The following is a 26227-nucleotide window of genomic DNA, read 5'->3' as shown; positions in this document are numbered from 1 at the left end:
CAAATCATTGTGCCCAAAGAAGTCCTTACTCCCCCAAGCCCAAACCTGGCGCCCTGCAGCGCCATCAGCGGCAATATCTTCCTATTTGAGGGACGTCTCTTATTAATCAGAAACGCTGAATGGAAACCAATCAGATAGAGAGTTCCTTTGCCTTCAGCTTCCTGCCTGTCTGAGTTAAAAGTGATGCTCGAAGAGAAAGCCACACTGAGATGCATGAAGATTCAGCTGTGAAGATACTATAAAAAGGGAAGAGAAGGACCGAGACAGAAGCAACAACGGAACTGTCAGTGCGGAGTAGGGCTAAACTCAGTTCCATTGTTAAGCAAGGTAAGTGTTATTTACTTTGCTTGACAATGTAAGCTATTCAGTTTTTGCTTTCTTATAACGAAGTAGTACAAATATTGCTTTTCTCCTAGTTGCTATATTTTGCTCTCTCTCTCTCTCTCTCAACACTTGGAAGCACATAAGAATACATTTTAGTAGTATTTGAGTAAAATGTTTACATGCTCAGTGACAAAACTTGCAACATTTGCTTCTTATTTTACTTTTGCAAAGCTGATACCTACTCAAGCTCTTTTTATAGTCCTCATATTTGCATATGGAATATTGTCGTAAAAATAAAACTAAACTTAAAATTGTATCAGTTGATTGTGGTGGCTTTCAATTATTCACATATTTATGTGTTCATGTATGTGATTATTATATTAATTTGAAATGGACTCCTGGTCTTCTCATAACTTTTGTTTAAATCACTTGAGTCAAAATTGTCAAAAATAAGGGCATCTTTATTAATAATTGAATAAGAAATGCTTTCTTTATTTTCAATATTATAAATGAAACAATATATGAATAGTAAAAATGCCACAGATGCATATTGGATGTCAGGATTAAGGTGATCACTTTACCTGGTAAAAGAGGTTTCTTCACGTATTTGTGGCTCCCACTCAGGTCGACACTCTGAATGTATACATCTGTGAGCTATAATTGCTTTCTATTATTGTAGGCAAATATGTCTTAATGTAATGATGACTAGATAGATGAAAGCCACAAGAAAGGGAGAGTGTTTCTAAGCCAAAATTGGCATTTAAAAAATTTGAAGTGATGTGGGAAATGCATTGATTTGGTGGAGCATTGTTTTATTGTGTTTTCCATCGCATGCTCAAGATCACCATTCACATCAAATAAATTTTTGCAGGTAGGCTCGTCTCAATAAAGGCTTGGATTTTAGCTATAAGGTCATCAAAATTCTTTAGTATTGACAGTTAGAGACTGTTACCAGGGTGAAATTCTCATAATCTGTTTTAAATAACAAAGGTGTAATAAAAAGAAAGTTATTAACTGTAGTAGATAAGTTTACATTTATTTGTATCATCAACTTTTGATGAAGATATAATGGACTACAGATTGGAGGAGAAATTGGTGGTCTTCTCTGGAGATGTGTTGTCATTTTATATTTTGTATTATAGGTAGATGAGATTCCTAATAGGGATTTTTTCACAAGGTTTCTAAATCTTTTTAGCATGAAGAATGAATGACTTTGTGACATCAAAAAAAGTGGTAACTTTTGCAAGACAGAAGGGAATCTTCCTTCGACTCCCTTTGCTTTATCTATGAATTTGGAAGAGTTACCCATCTTCAGGCACAGCCGTTAAGAATGAATTTGATTATTCAAGATTCTCAATTTTGTAAAAAACCTCCTCCTACATTCTGCAGAAGAAGAATCCTATTTTCCACATTCAGACACTACATCATTGCCTAGGCAATGTGTGTCCATTGTGAAATACATTTTTGCAACTATAAAACTGGCTAATCCAGGTTTGAAACATAGATCTTTTGAAAGATGAGGAAAATGAAATAACATGCTATTACAGCACATAGCACCAAAGAACTTGAACATAACATAAATAGCATGTGTTTGTAGTCTTGTCACCAAATATGTTATGGGTTTGACTAAAGTTTTTCCAAATGAGGAGTAGATAAATAATTATATGCACTTAATAGATATATGCCAACATGTTGAAATACCAACATCTCTATATGTGTTTTGAAAAATGAAAAAAAATGTAAGATAAGTACATATTATGAGCAAATCCAATTCTGGAAATAAATAGAAAAAATGATTTAGAGAAAGCAGAGAGTAGTATGAATTTAAGAATAATTCACTAAAGTCAGACAGATTTGGTAGTACTAATAAAAACAATAGTCCTATGAGATAATAATTTTTCTAGGATAAAAAATATTATTTTTCTTTTATTACAGTATTTGATAGTTTTAAAATATTTGAAATGGTTTACATAACTATGCTACTGTTATTGCATTCATTGCATGAAGGAAATAAAAATGTCTCATACCACTGCCTGTGTGTAAGAAGAGTACAATATCAAAGTTGATCTTGAAATTATTCTTTTAAATGTTGTGTTGCTCAACTTGATAAATCGTGTGTTGAATCAGAAGCTCATCTGAACGTCACCTTACATGGAGGGATTTGTTCTGGTGTTTTCCTGTAACCCCTATACATGCCAAGCTTAGCCAATGCAGTGTCCCGTCCATGGTACATTCACCAAGTAAGATTTTTAAAGCAAAGTTAATTAGATTGTTTTTATTCTACTGGCTTAGCTCTATTCAGGCATCAATAGTGATATGAGGCAGATGCTCCTTCCCCACAATATTTCTACAGTATATGGGTGTAGTTAATAAGAATGCTTTAGAGAGTGCTTACAAATTATATAATATAAAATATGCAATTAATGTGGCAACATATAATATGCAAGAAAGTATAAATTAAGGTGAAAGTTAATTTTAAAAATATGTGTGAATGTGTCATGAATAAACATTGGCTGTAACTTGTTCTCTATGAAAGTAAACAGTCTAGATAGATAATTATTCAATATTAATGCAGATGCTTCAATATAATTTATCATTAATTTGCTATATTCTTTAAGACTAATTTTGCTCACTCAAAGGCACATTTAAATATGATGTAGAAATAATCTTATATTAGAAAAAAGATATCTTAAAAAATGTCCAATGTAATACTTTTGACTTCAAGGACACACATACACACACACCCACACACACCCACACACACACACACACACACACACACACACACACGTCAATAGCAATATTAACATAGAGTAATTTTGATTCATGGTGAGATTTTTTGTAATAAAAACTCTAGTTAGTTTCTTGGGTATTTTGCCTTGTAAATCGTCTGCTTAAAGTTAAATTTTCTTAAAGAAGAAGAAAGCATGCTAAATATAATCCAAAGGACATTGATTTCAAATGAGTCTTGTTTGTTTTTACCTGATGCTAAATTTATAAATATGGTCATTTTTATTGTAGAACATAAAACATGTTTCCTAAGATAAAGCAATTTCTTTCTCTGTATCTTGCATATTTGTTTTCAGAAACAAGTTGTCTTTACAAAGATATCCCGAATAATTCTCAATACCCATGACATTATCTTATTTAGATGTTTACATAAAATTTTGGAACTTTAGAAGAGGAGTTTTAACTCTCTCCATCTTTAATTTGACACATACTAAAGCAGAGGCTTAGAAAGATCAGGTTCCATATCCAAGACTGTCAAGTTAAATATATATATATATATATATACATATGCAATATTATGTGGAAACTTATCCTATTAAGCCATGAAACTCAAATTGGAAATATAGAAAAATACATAAAGAGATGATAGACAGATACATAGAGGATAGATAGATAAATACATAGATGATAGATTAGATAGATAGATAGATAGAGTTGTATAGATTATTGAAAACAATGAATTCTGGATTGTTATAAATAATCTAAAAAAATTTTTTTTCTCTTATGAGTCATTTCAATTTCTCTGCCTGGAAGCACCATTATCCTTATTATTAAAATATGGTAAGGAGTGTACAGTGAGGAAAATGTCTTTATAGCACTCTTCTACATTTCCATAACAGCCCTAACATGTTAATGCACTTATCCCTAAATTTAGCACTAGTAAGACATAGTCTTCTAGCCACATTACAAATGCAAAGTGCCTGAACAAAAGCAGGGTCTCTGGAGCCTGACCAAGAGATTTCATATTAACATTTCCAAGAAACACCTCTCCAAACATAAAAGTCATTATAATGGATCTCATTGGCTATGAGAGGAAAGTGGAAACATCATGGGGTGTTGTGGTCAGATGCTCTGTGTGCGTGTGTGTGTGTGTGTAAGAGAGAGATGTATTATTTATTTATTTATATTTTAGGAATAAAAGTAAAAAAAGTAAAGAGCTGAATATTTTCTTAAAATGACATTCAAAGTTTTTCTGAGATTTTTTTCTATCCTATTAATTTAGCAAATTATAAACCAATTGCAGGAGAAATAAGCATTCTTGTATATCTTCTATTTCTCTTGATGAGCAAGATAATTTTTGATCTCTCTAATTGATCGATGAAACACGAGCATATGATTGTTTCATAAATATGGATTAAAAAGCCAACCCCTCATATCAGATTTTGAAATCGACTTTACAATTCTGAAGAGCATAGATGACTTCATTTTAATTTCTACTCCAAACACTAATTCAATTTACAGTGGAAATAGTAGTAACTAATAATTATTATTTAAATTTGAATATGAAAGATTTAACATGTTCATTAATGTATTCGATGTTGAAAGAAACATTTATCTAACAGAATTTATATTGGAATATGCTGCAGTCGACATACTTTATATATTATTAACACAGTTTCCAAAGTGTAATAAGCTTTTTCCTCATATTTAGTAAAAGAACATCTTTGGAAAGTCATATAAAAAAATAAAGCATATACACCGGAAGCTGTATAACAGGGGAGACAACAAATAATGCATATAACAAAGTGTAATCCAGGCAAAAGAGCAACAGTAATTCACTTCCTGGGTCAAAAGACATTATATAAAATATACTGCTTTTATAAAACTGGGAATTCAGTCTTAAAAGTTGTCTAAGGGAGTTTTCCCCAGACAATCAGCCAACTCTAAAATGTATTTGTATTTTTTTCTACCAAAGCAGGTTACTGTAGTATTATTACATAATTTCTAGAAATATGTTTAAAAATATTCCCATATATATGTTATAAATGCTTCACAATATAAAGAACACATAAAAAAATTGTGTTTTTTTGTTTTTTGTTTTTTTTAAATTTTAATGGTAAGTAAACCGCAGAGGAAATGTAACAGTTTCCTGTTAAGGAAAACTTAACAGTTCAAGAAAACTTAACAGAAAGTTAAGAGTAAACTTAGTTGAAATTACAAAGTGACATCTATCTGTCTGTCTGTCTGTCTGTCTATCTGTCTGTCTATCTATGTCTTTATATCTTTATATCTGCATATGTTTCTTCATTCATATTTCTGTATATCTGTATCTATAGCTATGTCTGTATGTTTGTGTGTGTATGCATCCAGAATACATATGGAAAACAGAAAGAAAGCACAATGAATTAATTCAAAAATTGTGAACATTCAATGTTCACATAAATTAATTATAATATTTAATTATTACAATGTGTAACTGGAGGAACTAAAATAACTCCTTTATTAGTCAATATTAGATATTATATTATAAACAAATGATAAAATACCATTTGAAAATTTTTTATTTTTGGAAAATCTTAAACTCAATTATAGTCCATCTACAATGGTTGACTTGGATAATTTTTTGAATAGGAAAAATTAGAATTTTATTTTTTTAACTGTATCTAGAAATAATTATTCTTTATTGAATGTTCACAATTCTTGAACACCTCACAAAATTTATTATCTTTTTACCCACATTTACAGTGGATGAGAAATATATAACATAGAAGTTAATGCTATCTCAAACTATGTTTAGACAAAAAGTAGATAATTATTATCAGGAAATAAAATTATTATAATTTTACATTAGTCATGTATAATACAAAGCAAATATATTATATGGTGAAATTTTTAATTATTTAGTTGACTATTTTCCCCGAGAGTCAATAAGCTATTAAATGTTTGTTGTATTTCTAGGTAAATTAACAATGTGCTTGATTGTATATTTACTTTATATTAAAAATGATACTAAGTTTAAATAGTATTGCTTTTTTCTTGTGTGTGATCTACAGTAATTCATAAAACAGAGAAATATTTTATTACTACCACTCCTTCTAGATTAATGTCACAACTTATTAATGTTACAACTTAATAAAGCATTTACACATGTATTAAGCAGGGAGTGGAATAGGTTCAACTGTTGGAAGAGAGAAAATAGTTTTCTGCCTCCCCTAAGTTTTGCCAGTTTATCTAGATGATGTGACATATTTAATATGGTTTTAATTCAGCTTTTTCATACACTAGCATTAAATAAGATGTCAGATTCTGACAATACATAATTTTCCAAAAATTAAATAATTAACTATTATAATAATATGTACACTTATTTATTCAAATGATATTCATCTGTCTTTTTTGTTTAGTTTAGAATTCAGATGCCTAATACAATCACTGACAATAAAGAATATTATTACACTTGTAATAAATATATTTATCTTTATAATTATAATGAACTTTAGTTTAAAATATGAAGTTCTATTAAAATACAAATGGTGAATATCAATAATAAAGTGCTCTTAAAAATATTATAGGGCTATTTCAGCATATTAAAATGGAAAGTTTTTATCAATAGTCTGTTCATATTTATACATATCTCTATATATAGACAGCTAAATATATAAATATGTGTTATGTGTCTCACCCTCACAACTTTGGACCTGTGACCTTTGTTAAACTTGGTTTTTCAATAGCTAAATATGTCAGATGATTTTATTTAAATAGGAAAGTAAGTTTCAACTTTGGAATCATTTGTGATTTTAGAAAATTAAGAAGAGAATTGTTCTGATAAAATTTCTTGAAATAAGTATGTGTCACTAGCTACTGGGAGTTCATAAGCATTTATACCCAAAGATTAATGTTGAAACCTACAGAGACCAAATGACAGAATGAAGACACGAGAGGCGTGGGAGTCCATAGCAGACTCAGTAGCACAGTCACACAACCGTTTACATTGAAAAATGTTGCCATTGTAGACCTTTTGCTCCTTCCAGACCTATTAGGCATGCAAGTTTGCTAGTTGACAGATAAAGCATTGGCTTTGGGATCACTGCAACCCTTTATTAAACATGGGCAAGAAAATTCTTCCATAAGCCTAAGACTAAACTAGGTCTGTTGAAGTCTTACATTGAATAAATTTTTAAACACACATTCAGGAAATAATACAATGTTATTGCAGAGTAAATATGTGACTTATGTATGTCTTATATTTATATTGCAATGACCATAAATTGTAATCTTCCTAAATTACAGGAAAATGTGAGTAAAAGGCCTATATAGAGTGTGAGGAGATTTTAACCCAGATTGAAAATTCTACTTCAGTTATCTATTTGAAGAAATGTATCCTAACCACTTAAAAATAATATTTTGTTCTATAAAGTATGAATTTGAAAAGATATCTTGAAAAATAAGTATTTTATCATTTTAGAATTCTATGTATAGTCATACAATATAGCGGTTTTCTATGAATAAGGGATGTTTTATAAACCTTCAGTGGTATGAATTTTTTATTAAAATAGCAGTTGTAATCATTTATCCAATTCTAATTATGTAATGTTTTAGTTATATTTCTTTCTCAGTTTTTGGCTTATGTTAAGCAGCCTTGTATGAAAGTGATCTTTAATTACCTTTATGGTGAGAAAAATTTAAACGTATTAAATAACCAACTTGAAAAAAAGTAGATTTGTAACCAATGTTAGCCTGCAGAAAAGAAAGCATATAAGTTAGGATTACAGAAGATATTTTTAGTAGTTAGCATGTGATTTAAAATGTTCTAGATAACATATACACTAAAAAAATTCAAATAATATACTAAGTATATAATTATATCTAGATGTAAAGAATTACTCTCACTATATTTAATATACTAGATTCATGTGCTGAGTGTTATATGTATTTGCTCCTTTAAATATAATCTTTGAGGAAAGATATCCACACTCATCTCCTTCTGTATTTTTTTGTTATGCTTTAATTCTAAATCATTTGATGGCTAAAATAAAGTTGACTTAGGTTGTATGTTGTCTACTGCTTTCTAACAAATTGAGCATAAATCTATGCTGATACCTAGAAAGCAGTTAAGTCTTCTCCTTGCAATAAACTGTGATGACTTATTTATATTTTTGCTTTTGAGCACCTGTGTTTCTTGACTTCAGTACAGCTTTTTTTTTTTTTTAATCCCTGCTTCTCTGCTACTTCTATTTCCATCCCCCCTGCTTTTCTGCTTTCCCTGGTTCATTATTCCCTACCCCACTCTTTTACTTCAAAGACGGAATAAATTTAACTAAAAGTGCTTCTCCTTTTTAACCTGGCATTCATTTTGGGAGATTATTCAGTTAATTGCTAAAAAAAAAGTGGCTTTTTCAACATCAGAAACTCCTTAGATGTGGAAACTAATAAAAATGGATCAATGTATTTTATGATCAGCTTTAGAACCTCCTCTCCTCTCCCCCATCTCTCCCTACTACGGGAAATGAACCTTACAGGGAGTTGAGTATTGTCAAGGTCACAATTCACGAAGAAGAGATAAGTAGAACGAGGAGAAGTACTTTTACTAACAAGAAGACCTGTCTACTCTTCCAACAATGCAGTCCTGCAGGTATACAGTTGCATGAGAATTTTGGAGAATTGTTAAGAAAAACTGAGGCTTGAAAAGCAAAGGATATCCTTGTATACTTATTACTACCTTTAATGGAGGTAGGTGGAGTGGAGAGACAAAGTGGCAAAATGTTTTTATACTTTCTGCTTGGCCTCGGGAGCCCCATAATTGACGTATCTAACTTTTCACATTAAGAAGCTGATCTTGTGTCTCACTTCCATGTCATAGCGATGTCAGCCCATCTTATAATTTGTAGGTGTAGGAAGCAATGCTTCTCAAAACACCACCACTGTAGTGTGATCTCCCAAATGTGTGCAGATTCCTTGAGAAGTCTATTTGGGATCCTGTATGAGCCCTTCACTTTCCTCTCATTTAGACTCGTAATCAGGAAAAAGATCCTTAGATTTTTTTTGGTAATAATTTATTCATCCATCCATTACCTGATTATGTCATTGCCTTACATTTAAATTTTCTCCTTATTGAACACTTACTACATCTTAGGTACTGTGCTGTGATGAGGCTGCACCTGCTGCGCTGGGAAGAGCACCTTCACTTGTAGACCACTGTTTCAAACAACTTCACATAGAGATTCTTTTCTTGTCATTGTGATAAAATATCTGCTTGTAACTTTCTCTCTCTCTGACTTTGTTTTGTCTAGATAGCTTGGAACTGATCTTTATTCCACCTCTATTTAATAGCATTAAATTCATTCAAAGAAAATTTTGTTTAGCCTACTATATTTTCTCTTCAGTATAAACATCCCACATTACTCCAATTATGTGAGAAATATTTTATAGATCATATCCTACCAGGAACTAACCCTGTGTGAAGTGAATTCTCTTTGATATTGCCTCTAAAATTGAAACCAATAATCTTAATATGAATTAACACAATAATTATGCTATAACATTTCAAATTAGTTTAAGGTCATGTTTTCATTATTCCTCAATGTTTCCAAAAGCTTCGTATAGAAAAAAAAAGTTTCCATGATTTGTAATTATCTCTTTTAAAATAAGATGTTGTCAAATTGAGTGAGATATAACCTTTACTATATCTTACATTGGCCTTTCCTATTTAGTCCTTGGATCATTCTTCTTGAGAAAATTAATACCTCTTTTGCCATAATATTTAAGTAATCTTTTAGTTGTTCACGTGGCCAACAATTCCTTTAACTATTGATACATTCTACAAAATATAATTTTGTCAAGTAAGGATCTGTTCAAGTAATCTTCTCTCTCTGTATCCCTACCAACACTCCATCACATCCAGAAATGTAAGGAAGTACATTTCTTGAATCTAAGTTTTTGGTTTTTGGCAATTGGTTTTTTCCTGTATTTTAATTTTTTTCTGCTATATTCTGAGTCTTAAAATATGGTTTTTCATTTATATCTATAAACCAGTACCTAAAAATGTACTTGAAACAGAATTTTGTCAGGAAATACTTGAGGAATTGAATTATCTCCAAGTGTACTTTCAAAATCACTCTAGTGAAAATCACTCTCGTCAAAACAGATACCACACTTTGTGGAAAAGACTTGTCCTTGCCTGACTTCATGCCCTTTTTCATATGATTTTCTGTTATTCAAATATCATTCTCAACTACCAGTCCATTACAACAGTACCTATCAATTATTAAAGACTATATCAAGCCCTATGCAGTATACAGTAAATTCAGAAAGAGGAGTCTAGGGTATTTATTGTTACCAAGGAATTTTTTTTTTTTTTTGAGACAGGTCTCATTCTGTCGCCCAGGCTGGAGTGTAGTGGCAGGATCTTGGCTCACTGCAACGTCTGCCTCTTGGGTTCAAGTGATTATTGTGATTCAACCTCCCAAGTATCTGGGACTACAGGTGCGTGCCAACATTCCCAGCTAACTTTTGTATTTTTTGGTAGAGATGGGTTTCACCACGTTGGCCAGGCTGGTCTTGAATTCCTGAGCACAAGTGATCTGTCCACTTCAGCTTCCCAAAGTGCTAGGATTACAGGCGTGAGCCACCATGCCTGGCCTAGAAATTCTTGATCACAAAAACCTGAGGGCTACTGCCCTATAATGTCAAAGTATACATTTTAAATAGTCAAAACTATTCTGAAATCTGTCCAAAAATATTGTATTTATGTTTTAATTTGAGTTTACTGGAAGAAAGACTACAGCTTTCATGTTATCCATAGAGAGTTTCATATCCCCCCAAAAATGTATGGACTGCTTAACAGTTCATAAATTGAAACGTGTATGATCAACAACACAATTTTATCAGAATAAAAACAAAAGTGCACTAGGCTGATGATGTCAGCCCCATGCATGTGGAGACCCATGATCTCTTCCCAGCTCCCATATTTACTTTCTCTGTTTTGCTAGTAGGTTATCTTTACTTCTGGGTGCAAATTGTCCCATGTATAAAATGTAGTAAACAAGAAGTTTAGTAGGCAATATTTTTTGATAGTCAGCGTAAGGACAGGTAGAGTCCTGGAGCCAGATATCCTACTTACAAAAATTAGTTATACTCTATACTTCATGTGTGAGTTTGAGAAAGTCTTCTAATGCCTTGGGGCTCCAGGAGCTTCCTGTGCAAAACTAAGATATTAGCAGTAACTACATTGTAGGGTTTTATGAGGAGACACAATTGATGGCTTCTTTAATGACTACCATTATTCTTAAGATGGTTATGGTTCAGGTTCTTTATATCTGGGTAAAGGGTATTGAGACCCACCATATACAAAAGTAGGACAGTGGCCTAGATTAATTTAATGATTAATTTCATTGTTCTTGAAATTAGATAGGCTAAGTCTGAATGTAAATATTCACATCATAAGGTTCCTTAAGTTGACATAGCACACAATGGAAATACTTAATATTTTGAACAATTTTGTGTTGCAAGTTTATATTACTTGAAATTAATATAGAATACTCAATATCATAGATAGAACACTCTACACTTTATCGCTTGAAGTTAAAATGAGTATACTACTCATGGATCTTGGAGATGTGAGTGAATGATGAAAGTCTTTTAAGTCAATAATAATAAAATTTCATAGGCTCTCATATCATAATCTATTTTAATGCCAAGTATTTGAGTTTGGTTTTTTAATCTATTTACGACTTCCCCCTTTTAGTCTTGAATTGCATTAACAACTGTAAAGTGAATGCCATTCTTGACCTTAAAATGACTACAACTTATGAAAGATGATTCATTTATATAAGGATTTTATTGTGGTTTGAAAAATATGATTCTAACAAAAATGGTAATAATGATTGCATACTTGCAAGTAACATTCACCAAAATTAATTTGAACAGTATATTTTTGGTGAATGTTAATGATTTACTGGTTTTCCTAATGCATTGTCAACTGGAGTTAATGTTTATAAAATATACAAAATATTTAAATTTATAGTATTTACTAATTTTTTTTCTATAGTCAAGCATTAGCACCAAATGTTTGTTCAAACTTTACTATGCATCATACATTTTTCTGGGTGCTAATATTGTAGCAGTGAGTATGATACAAAGTTTTTAATCACAAGAAGGTATTTTCTAGAGGAGTGATACAAATAACAAAAAGAATAATTAAAATATTTTTAAATTCTGTGTAAACAGGTGGTATAATGGAGAGTGATTGGAGAGGTAAGTAGAGCTTTATGAACTTGGTGAGGGAGGTTTCTTGGAGAAGGTGACATTTGAATTGGATCCAAATGAGGAGAAGGAAATATTATGACACATACCATTTTGGGTAGCAAAAATGACAGGTGAAACAGCCCTGGTATGTTAACGAAATTTACTCATGTTAGAATAGAATTCTAACTCTAGTTAATTTAATTCATAAACCCCACATTGTTATATTATGCTTATCTCAGCAATTATAAACATATAATAAGAATGTGAACTGGACACTTTCCATTTCTTGTTTCAGTGTTTTATTAATTAAAACCTACATTCTATTTTTTTCTTGCTTGATTAAATAAGATATTCCAATATGATATAATGTTCATCTTTTTATGTATACAAAGTTAGAATTTCATTAAATATTGCTATTAATAAATTTCAAACAGAGAGTTCAAGCAGCTACTATAAAGTATTAAAATTTTAACTGTGAGTGTCCAAAAAACTTAGTTCTCCAGTGCCTCCTGGTTATAAGTGAAAGACTCACTGAAGCTAAGGCAGGAAGTGGGAACTTAGTGTAAGAATATATATCAGTATATGTCTCTGTCAACTTCTGCATCTTTATTTATAATAATACAGGACACAATCTTACAACTCTCCAAAAAATATAATTCTGTTAAATGGATTGACGCTCCTTTAGTCTGAATGTTGAGGGAGGTTCTATTCTTCATGGAGGCACGAGAGAATAAGAACCTGTTGTTCTAGACTTCTCTCAAATGTCGCCAAAGGTCAAGTCCTTCCCTATCTGTGTGATTTTTTATCTTGAACATTTTCCATCCTTTAAGTACAGTTTCCAAAAGAAGGAACCTAATTACACAATGGCATTTCTTCTCTAATTCCCAGAAACTGTTTGTTGTCTTGCAGGTTCCACTGTTAGCACTTTGTCTATTGCTTCATGCCAACCTTTATTTCTTTGGTACTTTTACGGCTTCTCTTCCCTCTTTATTGACTTATTCTTTTGATGATCTCCAGTTAAGCTTTCTGAGTTAATTGTACTAAAGTAGCCTGTGTTTCTTTGTATCAGGACTCTGGTCAGTCTTCTGATTGGTCTCCAGTTATTTTCCGTACCATATCTGTATTAGGTGATGAGCCCAGTCATCTTTTCTTGAATCTCCTGATATGCAATGTATTTACTAAACATTGAACTTTAAGCTTTTAGCAGAATGCTTGGAAAACTTTCCTTAAAAATATCTGTCAGCGTGTTACTCAAAATACATTGATAGGTCTATACCGCTTGTGTGAATTAAACAGTTGTAATGCCAATATTCTTTCCCCAAATAACACACAGATAATATGCTTCTCAATCTACACAATAGATTACACATTTTGGCTGAAATGTTGTAAGAAATAAATAATACCCAATTTGGATTTTTAAGATTATATCACAAAAAAATTAATAGATATTTTCTATAAGGAAATGCAACACTGTATTTTGGGTGAATCCTGTTTTGCTAAATTATTATTTTTTTCTGCATTGCTTAACTATCATACTAAATCATATGCTGCATTGTAAGTGATATGGTATTTATGACTTTTGATCCGTGCTAACTCTATGTCTCCTACTTTCCTGCACCTCCATTCCCAGCTCAAACTACTAGCCCTATGTTTTCAGCTACAGAGTAGAAATCAACTCTAGTATACCTAAATATTAAACGTAATGGTTAAGAATTCAGGCTCTTAGTCAGAACATAAGTTTCAATGTCGTATCAATTAATTTATTTCATTTCTCCAAATATCAGTTTTCTCATGCAAAAATGTAGATAATTAGAATTCTTGGAATTGTTGTTAATGACTGTGGTAATGCAAGTATCAAAGAGTTTATTGTTATTCTTGTTTATTATTATTACATTCACTCAAATATATACTCAAACTGTCAGTTTCTAATAGTGGCTCAAGATAATTTCACTACTGTGTTTGAGAAGAGTAGTAACACTTTTCCTTACATATTTTAGTTTTTCTTGCCTAGACTCTTAGGAAGGTGGAAAACAAAACATAATTATACCTCCAAATAAATGATTGAAAAGATGTTTTGTCCTGACTGGGATTTTACTTGATGTGACACTACATTTTTTCAAAAGAAATTTACACTGGCTTTTAAAAATACCATATAATTAATCATGAATGCAGAGTGGGAGTAACAATAAGAACATATTGAAAAAATTGAAAAATAGTTAAAAATTATGTAAGCAGTCATACTTTCCAAGGGCACAGAGAATAAAAATCTCTATTTATGAGAGTATGAAAAATATATTTGAAAATGTGTGAAAAACATGGTTCTTAGAAAATATTTGTCCAGTTTTCATCATTAATAAAAATAGGGTCAAGTTAAAATGGTTTCTAATGAAATTAAATTCTATGTTTATTTTTATTATTTATTTATTTATTTATTTATTTTTGAGACAGAGTCTAGCTTTGTCACCCAGGCTGGAATGTAGTGGCATAATCTGGGCTCACTGCAACCTCAGCCTCCCGGGTTCAAGCAAACCTCCTACCTCAGCCTCCCGAGTAGATGCAATTGCAGGTGCCCACCACCATGCCCAGCTAAGTGTTGTATTTTTAGTAGAGATGGGGTTTCACCATGTTGGCCAGACTGGTCTTGAACTCCTGACCTCAGGTGATCCGCTGGCCTCAGCCTCCCAAAGTGCTGTGATTACAGGCTTGAGCCACCATGCCTGGCCCTTACATGCTATTTTTAAATAAAAATGTTAATCCTACAAGATTTTATCTCTGTTGGATATAAGAACTTTAAGAAAAGAATGATTCAATATAGTTACGGATTATTACAGCAAGAAGAAAGCAAATTTACAGTATAATTAATTGACTGATTTTACAGGTAAGAATACCAACACCCTGAGAAATTGTTTAAAAAGTGACCCTGCAGCAAACAAACAAATAAACAAAAAAGAGTAGAATCCAGGCCTACTAGAGTAGTTATATAAATAAGAATTCATTATCAATGAGAATCTATATATTTTTACAAAATTATTTTTGTTTCATAATCCTTTACATGTAAAATATGGCATTGTATTAAGCATAAGTAACAAACAGAGAAAAATGAGTACCATTGAATTCACTACTGTGGTTGGGCCTGGCTTTCTATGAAAATCTTCCTAAAACAAAAATATGATGAATCAACCGAGCCTCCCGAGTGAAGAAGAAAGAATTGATTTATGCAAAGTGTCTATTCTGTCTTCCAGTACTAAAGAGTTAACTAAACATTTCCCAAATTGTATGTGGTGGAATTACACTCCACCATATACATTACACCATTAGTATTGTAAAGAGAGCAATGGATGGGAGTCAAAAGATCAGAAAGAGAGGGATCTTGTATTCATTTTCCACACTGGGGCTTAACGTCTTCATTTTTAAAATGATGGAAAGAGGCTAGAAGACATCTAAGGGCTCTTTCAGTTTCAAAGTCATTTACAACTTTGCTTGAAAATAGTCGTATTAAACTTTCAACCACTTTTGTAATAAGCTTCCATCCTATAAGGAAAATAAAAAAAAAAGAACAATACAAATAACTGAACTACTTGGAAGTATCCAAAAGTCTAAATATCATGGCCTCAGAACTGGACTCCCTGAAGACCTTTTCTAAGATGTGGAGTCCTCTGTGTTGGTGACCGGTTTAGCACCAGAACTGAGTCTGTTCCATTGACTTCCATATTGCCTAAATTTTCCCACATGGATATCAGTCTTTCTGTGTATAAAAAGAATGTGGTTTAGAATTTCATTATTGTCCGACATATTCAGAAATGTATTCGTTTACCCTGTCTGCAGAACACTCTGCTTAAACTGTGCAGTCAAGACAGTCACATCTGGCATTACCCCGTAACAAATTCAGTTATCAGCCACCTAAAAGAAACATATGTTTCAGCCATCAGTTATCTATTTTAAATTGTGTGGTATGACTAATTCAATTAGTAATCAACTCATTTGACTGAACTCGTTATATATGTTTATGCAACTATAACATTGTGCTATGTTTGATACTATTTGCATTTACAAATTATTATATCAAGGAATTGTGTGGTATGGAGAAATTTGTCAATACAACTGTTCAATCCTTTGAAGAAGACAACGTATACATGTCAGTCTGACAATTTTAAAGGTAAATGTTGGAATCATTCAAAGAATAAATAATTCTAAGGTCCAATGATCCTTTAAAAAAACTCAATTTGTGAAAAACTAGATTAAAAAAAACATGTACAATCAGTTATTTCATTGAGAGATTATATATTGGCATGTTTCCAAAATTCTGTGCTTGATATTTCATTGGTTTATGTATTAAAAAAATTCTCTGTAAGGAACTTCAGATACTAGACGCATCAGAAATTACTATTCTTAACCGTGTTTTATCTATAGTGTTATGGGAGTAATAAGAAAAGCATGAAGGTGTAAGATAAGCACCCCCAATTCACAAAAGAGCAACACCCTCTGTTTCAATGTAATGTCTGGAGGAAACATAACAACACGAGAGTATCCGATAGTGAATTAAACATTTTGTTTTCACAGTCTATTTACATGAAAATTAATTATTTATAGGTAAATTATCTCCTCTTCTTGTGATTTCCTTCTGGAGTTAGAGATTTCTTCCTGATGTTATGAAGAAGGAAATTAATCTATTCACTAATTAAATTAATCCTGTTGTAAAATGCAGTTTTACAATAAAGTTCTACAGATTCTCTTTTACTCTAGCAATGAACCTTTATTTATAATGATATCTTGCCCCAGTCTATGGGGAACATGAAGAGCAGCTGTGTTGGATAAACCACACATAATTAGCATACAGGATCTCTTTGCCAATGATATTGTTGACGTTATATAAAATCTTATACACTCCTGTTTGGAACTTTATAACTGCATCATATTTTATACTATTTTAAAAGAGTATTCATGAGTATGGACAAAACTTCAATGTTATTAGTCTTACTTGTATAAGTGTAGGGAAATAAATCATGTGATGGAAGTTATATGAGGCTTATATGATTTTTCTCCTTTATAAGACTCAAAATTTAGGAAGAGATTTTAATTAATATTTCTTCCAACTTTTGTAATATATTTTTATTATTTTCTGATTGTTGAAAAACATTTTCTTCTGGGGGAATATACAATTGTAGATCATAAGTGCTGACTATTAATATGTCATTAATAAGTCAACGTCAAACTCAGTTAAATGTACATATAGACACAGTGTGCAATTCATGTGTAAAACTGCTCCAAACCTCACATTCATAAAACCAAACTGCTTAACACAATGCTTTAGCTCCCTCTTTTGGATGGCCCAGATTATAATATGAAAATAGGAGAGACTCCCCTAATATGCCTTCATTTCTACTGGCATTTTATAATATTTGAGTCAATATTTATTCCATGATTAAACTCTATAAAATAATCATTTTCATCAGTTTTCAAAAGAAAGTAAGCCAAATCTACACTTAGAAGTAGTTTTACTAGTTGATTTATCAGCCATTGAACACTTCCCAAAATTAAGGATATATTTTGATAACAGTGTTTAAATACACATTATTCTAAAAGAATTAACCGTCAATTGTATGAGGGTTTTAAAATACTATTTATCCAGATAAAATATCTGAGCTCAATTATCCCATGAACTATGTACTAGCTACACTTAAAGCATTTAATAACCAAGAATAACCTTAAAATGTATTGAACACTAGGCATATATATATATATATAGTGTGTGTGTGTGTGTGTGCGTGTGTGAATTCTTAAATGTTCTTAAAATTTTTTCTCAGTTATTTTCATAATGGCATAGAAAATAATACATCGGATCAAGATGTATAAAACAAAAGTCTGTGCAACTTTCTTAAAAAATATATAATTAACAATAATATGCACAAAATAAACACTTAAGATAGACATATATCTTACCTTATAATAACATCACTTAAAATAATTCAGTACTAACACTAAAATAATTCAAGCTACTGAAAAGCAAATTATCATCACATTTGGTTAATTTTTTTAGTTTATTATTCTGCAGTAATTAAGTATAGTATTTTAATATTTAATAGCAGTAAATGCCAATTGTGTAAATATAAAATTCATGGAATTGTTGGTTTCCAGAAAAAAAGAAGTTAAGTAATTATTTTACACATCTAAAAGTATAAATGCAGAGGTATATTTTCATTTTTATTTTTAAGCTGTTTAAGTGTATTTGCTTAACCCTTACTTTGGAAACAAACAACCATTTTAAATAATTGTTTTTTTAAATTAAATATTAATTGACATGGCATTATTTGTACTCAAAATAACATAGTAGGCAATTCAGATAATTAAGTTTTCATATTTAAATACTATAAGCCTATATTATGAAATATTAATGCCATCACAAGTTATATAAAATAAATTATAATGAATATATTATCACAGTGCAGTCAGAACAAAGAATATAAGTTAATATCACCTGTTCCAGTGGTGTCCACTTTCTAAACCCAACCTTCCAACAGGCTGACACTTCTTGTAATGTATTTAATTTCACAGATACTTCAAATTGCAATCATTGTTTGGAGAACTCAATAATATGAAAAACTTCAAATTCCCTATGTGGTAGACGAATATTAAGAATTTTGCATGTAGAGAAATGACTCTGTCTTAAATTTTCTGTTATATTTAAAACTTATTTTATTTCAAAGGATATATAAGATTATTGTTTCCGACGAGTAAATTTAAAACTCTCTTTCATTTGTGTTGATTTACTTATTTACGTATTTCATAATTGAATGACCAATATTTTCTCAGCTAAATGGGAGCTGAATACTATCTTTGTACTAATTTTTCTTCTCTGTGTGTTAAGAAATATGCAAAAGCTTTACCATGAGCTTGATTTCAGCATATGTAAATGCTACATATAACAATTACATTACCTCAACCTGCTCACAAAGTGACACCAAGATCATAAAAAATAACTCTAGATAATTTGCTAATATTTTCTAATGATAGACTAGAGTGAAACAATTACAAAGTAGACTGGGATTAATTCTAGGTTATAAAATGTGTTAAATAATGTTATTTTTCAAATATTACATACAAATTACTAAGATGGGATTAGCATTTTAGAAAAAAACAAAAGATCAAATTTTAAAAAACATCCAAAAATGTCATTATTTGGAGATAGTCTGGCTAACCTATGACATCAACTTTATTAATATCTGCATCTCCATTGCTATAGTCTCATCTGTAATAGGAGATGTACATCTAGGTTTTCCATTCTTCCATAGCTTTCCTTTCTCGTCATACCCAAATACTTCATTCTAGTTCAACCTTCCATGAAATTGAGTCTACTTCACCAATTATTTCAATTCTGAATTTCACCTGTTACTACTTTTTTTGGGATTCCTCCCACAATTTCTGGGTGGATTTCAGTGCTTAGCCTAAATTAGGTTCCTCTTGTTTATCCCAGCACTATTAATAATAGGACATAATAATATAGTAATAATAATAAAAACGTATTTTACTTTGGGACAAAGGAATAAAGATGATGTAGGGAACACAAAGCCTGAGGAAAGAAAAACTAAAACCCAATAAATCACTGCTAACTCAAAATTCTGTTGTCCTGGTAGTGCCCCAGTCCAGACTGGACTGCTGGACATCTAGGAGTCCTCTGCTCTCTGCTTGCTGCTGTGCAGCTGGTTTACATCTTCCTAACCAAGAGGTACTACCCTGACACGAATTTTAATTTGGGACTCCAAAATACTCAAACCTTCTCAGATTGTAAGACTAGATTTTCAAAAATAATATAATTTACTCTGATAATATTATCCCAGAGGTACCAACATTAAAAAAATACATTATTAAAGGGAATGCTTAATATCTCAGTATGACACATGAGCATTTGGATGTCTCCATTAAAAAGCGTAGGACCATCACTTAGAATATGTCTACATGATTACATGATTTAGAGGGCTCCCTGGGAACAGAAAGATTTCCATAAAGAGAAGTTGAACTTACTAATAGTGGAATCTTAGAAATGAATGCTGTACTTTTTGTTAATAATATTTTGTCTTCAATTACAATTACATATGGGTTAGAAATATTTGATATTTTTATCTCTGAATTTTATATATATTTAATTTTACATATATATTTAATTTTACATGTATGTGTGTATGTATTTAAATCAAGATGATACATACGTGAGGAAAATTCTATATACAATATGTGAAAATAATTTTTTAAAATTCTCTTCCCATATGTAAATAGGAGCTTAAATCAGTTTAAATGGCTTTTCAATTTTGGGGTTACCAAAGTTTATGAAATAACCCATCTGTAATATAGAAGTCAATCCAAATAATCTTCTGAGAAAGAAAATAGATCTTAACCTTTTTTTTGTAAAAGTAAATAAAAAATATGATTTGTGTCTTTCAGCCTTATTAGAACCAACACTTGTTTTTACTATGCTGAATAGAAAAAAATCAAAGTTAATATTACCGTCACATATAAAGCATTTCTCAAAAATTGTCAACATAATTTTCAAAGCATAATATAAATGAGAAAATAAAAAAACAATGTATACTAAAATACGTACTACATCACTACTACAATATAATATACATTAAATAACCTATATGTGAATTAGACAGATAGAAATGGAGATAGATCAAAGAATGCTGGATTCCTGCCAGCTTCTACCTCCCAAGTGTCTTTGCCTTCAGCAATGTGGCTTTCTAAATGCTTTTTAATGGCAACTTTCTAAACAAAATATACTTTGGGTCTTCCGTTGATTTATGAGGTAGTTGGAAAATTTAGCATACTTTATGTGAAACTTGATGACGAAATAAATATAACCGAGAGTTAAAATGTTGAATAAATAAAAACTAAAACTAAAACAAACAAACAAACACAAACACTAAAGAACTAAGTTAGGTCTTAGGCAGAGATATGCTGTGAACAGGCTTTTCACCTACTTAAATGTGGGGCAGGAGAAAATGTTTTGACATTTGGGACTGCTTTGACCTTTGCAGAGCGTTTAGCTTGCCCCCCCAAAAAAAATTTCAGTGGACTCAAGCATTGTGAAACAGAAAAGCAATCCCTTTGAACATTTTTTTAAAAATTCCCTTGAGTGGAAAGCATTTCTTCAGTTGAGGATCACTCATTAAAATAATTAAGGAAAAACAATAATATTTTTGATGTTAGGAAAATAAAGGACAATACCAAAAATAAGAATGAGTCTTTCTGTCACCTCAAATCTCTTCCTCTACTATTTTGTTCCTTCATTCTCAATGTACCTGAAGAGTATGTGTGTCTCTTATGATTAAGGTAATACAAGAATGAAATAATATTTTTTGAAAAGTACTTTGACATATATATGACAAACAGCAACAACAACAAAACAAACAATGAAGAAGAATAGAAGGAACACATAGAAAGAATAGAAAGAAGAATAGAAAGAACAGTTTTGGGCTGAAGAGTTTCTCCAATTATTAAACTTGAAGCTTGTGATATTGGAGAAAAGCAAACAAAGAAATAATTTAAAAATGACAACACTTGTTAACACTCCGGATTTCAGAGCTCCAAGTGATATGGACACAACACTTTAGAAAACTATAAGGATTTAATATTGAATGAATAAAAATGCTCCCTTTATTTCAGTGGATCAAGAAACAACGTGCTCTTTTAAACTTTCTCTGTGCTTCTTTATTTTTTCTCTCAATCTCACCAAAATCTCACAAATAAAAAGCTTATAACCCAAGTTTTGACTCTTAAATGCATTTTTAATGGCTAAAAATAACAGAAATTTATTTTATGGATAATTTGCATATCGGTTTTAAATTACTTTTAGATTTAAAGCTACAACTTTTGGAGAAAATTATGCTGCCAATTATACTAAAATTCCTCTCAAAATCGACAGAACTAAATTCTCAGATTCTGAAATGCAATATTTGGAAAACTCAAAGCTCACAAATACATAAACCTTAAAAATACATTCTTATGAAATGTATAGCACATGCATTTTAAGCATATTGGAAAAGTGGGTTCTCTTTCTGAATTTATGGCATACTCTAATATGTACAATAATTAAACTTTTTTATAAATCCTGTAATTGTGCTCACATGGTGGCATTTTCTGATGAGCAATGTACTTTTTCATCAAACAATGATCTCTCCTCAACCCAGTACAGTCTATTTAGTCTATCACTGAATGATAAAAATGACTTTTAAATGTATGGCTAAAACTTATACTTGACATTATATCAGTGTTCTCGAAAATCCAAGATAAAGTTGATTAATAGTAGATACTCACATGCTGGTATTGTCAAGTTGGAGATTTATTGAGATATTATACTATTCATCTCTGAGGATGGTTACAGTTAAGGAGAAAACAGCTGTTCAAAAGTAGTGATTATTCATATTAAATTATGTGGGAATGTTAAAGGATAGATTATCTCACTAATAAAAATTATGTAAGATGTCAGTACATGTTTGAATTTGTCTTTGTCTGTACAATCCTCTTTCTATTTACCTAAGTCAGTTCTGATGATGACTGATGATGTCTCATTAGATTAGGATGACAAAATCATCAACTAAAAATAATTTTTCATTGTCATTATCAGGAGATAATGACATGGTAAATGTTCTGACTAGTGCTGTTGACACAGGTGACCCTCATATACTTAATAAGCAGAATTCTATTATAAAAGACAGCTCTGAAAAGTGGTGACTCTCATTTGCAAAAGCTTTTGTGTGAAGTGTTTGGCAGAGTGCATGGTTATAATATTATGCAGCAGAAACATGCTTCAAATAATTCTGGGAATCATTATTAATATTTAAGAAAGCATATCATATATTTTATAATTTATATTTATATTTAGTAACAGGCAACTTCCTAAGAGGAAAACATTTGAGGATACTTTTTATTGGCTTTGATAAATATATTTTGGTATATCATATATCTAATGACTAATGATGCTGCTTAAACAACAAACAAATGTTGCTTTGCTAAATACATAGGAAAAAAATTAAAAAGTAAACTGCCCGTATTTTGTGGCAGAGTTAAATGAGGTTTCTTCAGAGAAGTATGCACAAGAAATAAAAGTAATTTCAATAAAGCCTGATTTTAAGAAATTAGCATTGATGCATTTTTACATTTTAGATTTCCTCTTATAGAAAAAAAGTCTTAATAAATATCAATAGTGAGAACACGATCATTTAGAGATAAAATAATACCCTCCTTGGGTATTATTTATATTATAATTCTACCTCCTTGGGTAGAATTCCGTGATTTTGTAACAGGAATATTGCAGTCAGGCCTCTATTAATTTCTTCAATTGTGCAGTAATTCTAATTAAAATTTAACCATTTTTAACTTTACAGTGTTTTAGAAATGGAATCTACTTACGTGAAATATGTGTAAAGTGAAAGATAACATTCAAATTGTTGAAAGTTTTTTACGGTTATGTGATCCTTGCATCGCAGTCTTCTAAAGCACAGACTGAGCACCTTGAGTCACTTTAACTTTTGGTCCGTTATTTATCCTACAAAACCAGATCGTATTTCTACATTAAACTCTGTGGATGTGATAAGGATAATTAATTTTTATTTAAAACACTTTGGATTCACAGATTCTTATTTATTGAAAAACTCTTAGATGAATTGAGGGGTTCAGAGTGGGCAGATCAGGATAAAAATAAAACAGTGAAACAAGAGAAGGTTCTTGTATGAACCAGTGATAATTATAATCCATGAACTGGTAGTATACATAGTTCAACCCTCTGCAAAATGTATTTCTTAATGTTTCCTTATAAATCTATATCTATATTTATATATGTCTATATGTTTATCTGGTATATAAGTATGATGTACATATTTGGTGTGTATATATATGTTAAATAAAAACTGTCTATCATAGATAGTTTTTAGAAAGGAAACACCTGCGATAATTATCTTATTAGTTTTCCAAACTTATACTGCTTTATTTGGATTACAACATAGTGGTTACATTGTGGGTGCTAAAGACAAACTTCCTGAGTAGAAGTCTCAACTACCACTGTCAAAGTCCAGCTTTCACAGGATCCCTAGGAACACAGCTATAGTCAACCACAGTTCGGTGCATTAACTTCCTGCAGCAAGGCTTACTGCCATCATGGGAACTCTTCAGATACTTGGTCGGAAGGGGTTAATATAGAAATATTAGAGCTTCAGAAATGCTGGGGGCACCTAAGGAGTGCTTCAAAAAGCTTGATCTATCCTTGATTGGGTACTGTCAGGAAGTGGGGGTAATTCTGTACTTGTATATTAATTTCTATTTAGGAGGCTGGAAAAACACAGTTTGATGTGATTGATAATGAAGCAGTAACCAGGAAAGGAAGATATCTGGTCATATTTGAGATGTACAGTGGCCTTGCTTTTGTCTGTTCAATCACAGCTGTTGAATGAGCTCAGCTGATGATGATATTCTGTTAAGTTGTTAGTGTTCAGCAAAGAAAACCAACCCTAGTTCCTAGTTGCCAGGGCATGTGCCAGATATCAGTTCTCAAAGCTTATTTCTGCTTTCTTCTTTATCACCTTATAGATGTGTTATCTCAGGAAATATATTTAATTGATCTGAATTTTCATTTTGTATGGGATATAGAATGGGAATAACAGGACCTTCCTCGAGTGAATTTAGACACTGTTACATAATTTAAAATAGGTGTAAGTAATAAATTAAAAACTACAGTTAAAATGGTAAGACAGAGCCTTGAAATCTCAGTGAGCTTAAAACAAATGTAAACAGTATTTTTTTCTTGCAATATATATTCATCACAGGTCGGTTGGTAGGGCTGTAGAGGTGGATTCTTGTCTTCATTTTGGAATCTGGCCTGGAAGTGTTGCTACTTGGCATGGCAAAGGAAAAAGCCCATGGCACGATCATGGAGAAGCTCATAAACCCTTTTTCCAGAAATAACGTATCACATTCACTCAAACTTCAATGGCCAAATAGCCACATATAATAGCGAGATGCTGGTGAAGCCTCATCCTATGTTCGGAAAGAGGGAGACCTAGGGTTGTTTGTGAATAGAGTATGTTAAAAGATAAATGTAGGCATATTAAAATTCTAAAGAGTTTATTTTAGCAGACAGCAATTCATGGATCAGGCAGCACCAGACCTCAAGCAGTTGGATTTCACTGACTGGGTGCAAGGAGAAAACTTTTACAAATGTTTGCAGAAGTCAGGAAAAGAAAATATTTGACTAATTAAACTAAAAAAGTGCCTTAAAGTTCCTAGTTAAACTTTAGGTGCCAGTTTTTGACTGGGTATGCTCAAGTTTTGTATTCCTAGGATATGACCATTTACATTGAGTTGGGTTTAGGTTTACTCATGTAGAGACCCAGGGCCCTGGAGCTGCCTTAATCTAATGACCTCCAAATTGATTATTTTAACAAATAAATGGCCACTGCAAACTGTGAGGCACTTAGGACAAGGCCTGGCCCGTGCTTAATAAATGCTAGTTATAACACTAATAAATGACTATTATTATCATCTCCTTGTTTCACTCACCCTCCCACAGATTTTAATAATAATGGTTCAAACAACATGCGAGTTTGCTCATTTTCAGATGGGCTTTCCAGCTGAAATAAACACTAGAATTTTAATATCAGTGTTTGGCATCAAGATATTAAGGAAATATTCCTTGTAATTTTACTGAGTTCTAATAAGTGATTGGCAAAGGAAAACATGCTAATGTGTTTTTACACGAAAATATTTTTGAAGTTAAGTTAGAGTACATTTTTACACTTTGAAACCAAGGGATACTTTCTTAATTGTTTCTTGTTTGATTTTTTGGGTCTTGTAGATTTTATTTGGCTTGTACAAATAATCTGTAGATCCATTATGATGTTGCCAAATGGTACATTAGACTCATGTTATGCTGGAGACTAAT

The 26227-nt window shown here is 31.3% G+C and overlaps 1 protein-coding gene across 1 annotated transcript in view; it reads left to right on the top strand.

The window, feature by feature from the left end:
• The window catches only part of CDH9 (cadherin 9), a 157990-nt gene continuing 131966 nt past the window's right edge, over positions 204-26227 (top strand). Inside the window, exon 1 of the mRNA NM_016279.4 lies at positions 204-327. The gene's annotated coding sequence lies outside the window, so the exon portion shown is untranslated. The remainder of the gene's footprint in view (positions 328-26227) is intronic.

The sequence above is a fragment of the Homo sapiens genome, chromosome 5, assembly GCF_000001405.40.
Source record: "Homo sapiens chromosome 5, GRCh38.p14 Primary Assembly".
Lineage (NCBI taxonomy): Eukaryota > Metazoa > Chordata > Mammalia > Primates > Hominidae > Homo > Homo sapiens.
Note: the sequence above shows the minus strand (reverse complement) of the source record. Positions and strands in the feature narration are given on the sequence as shown.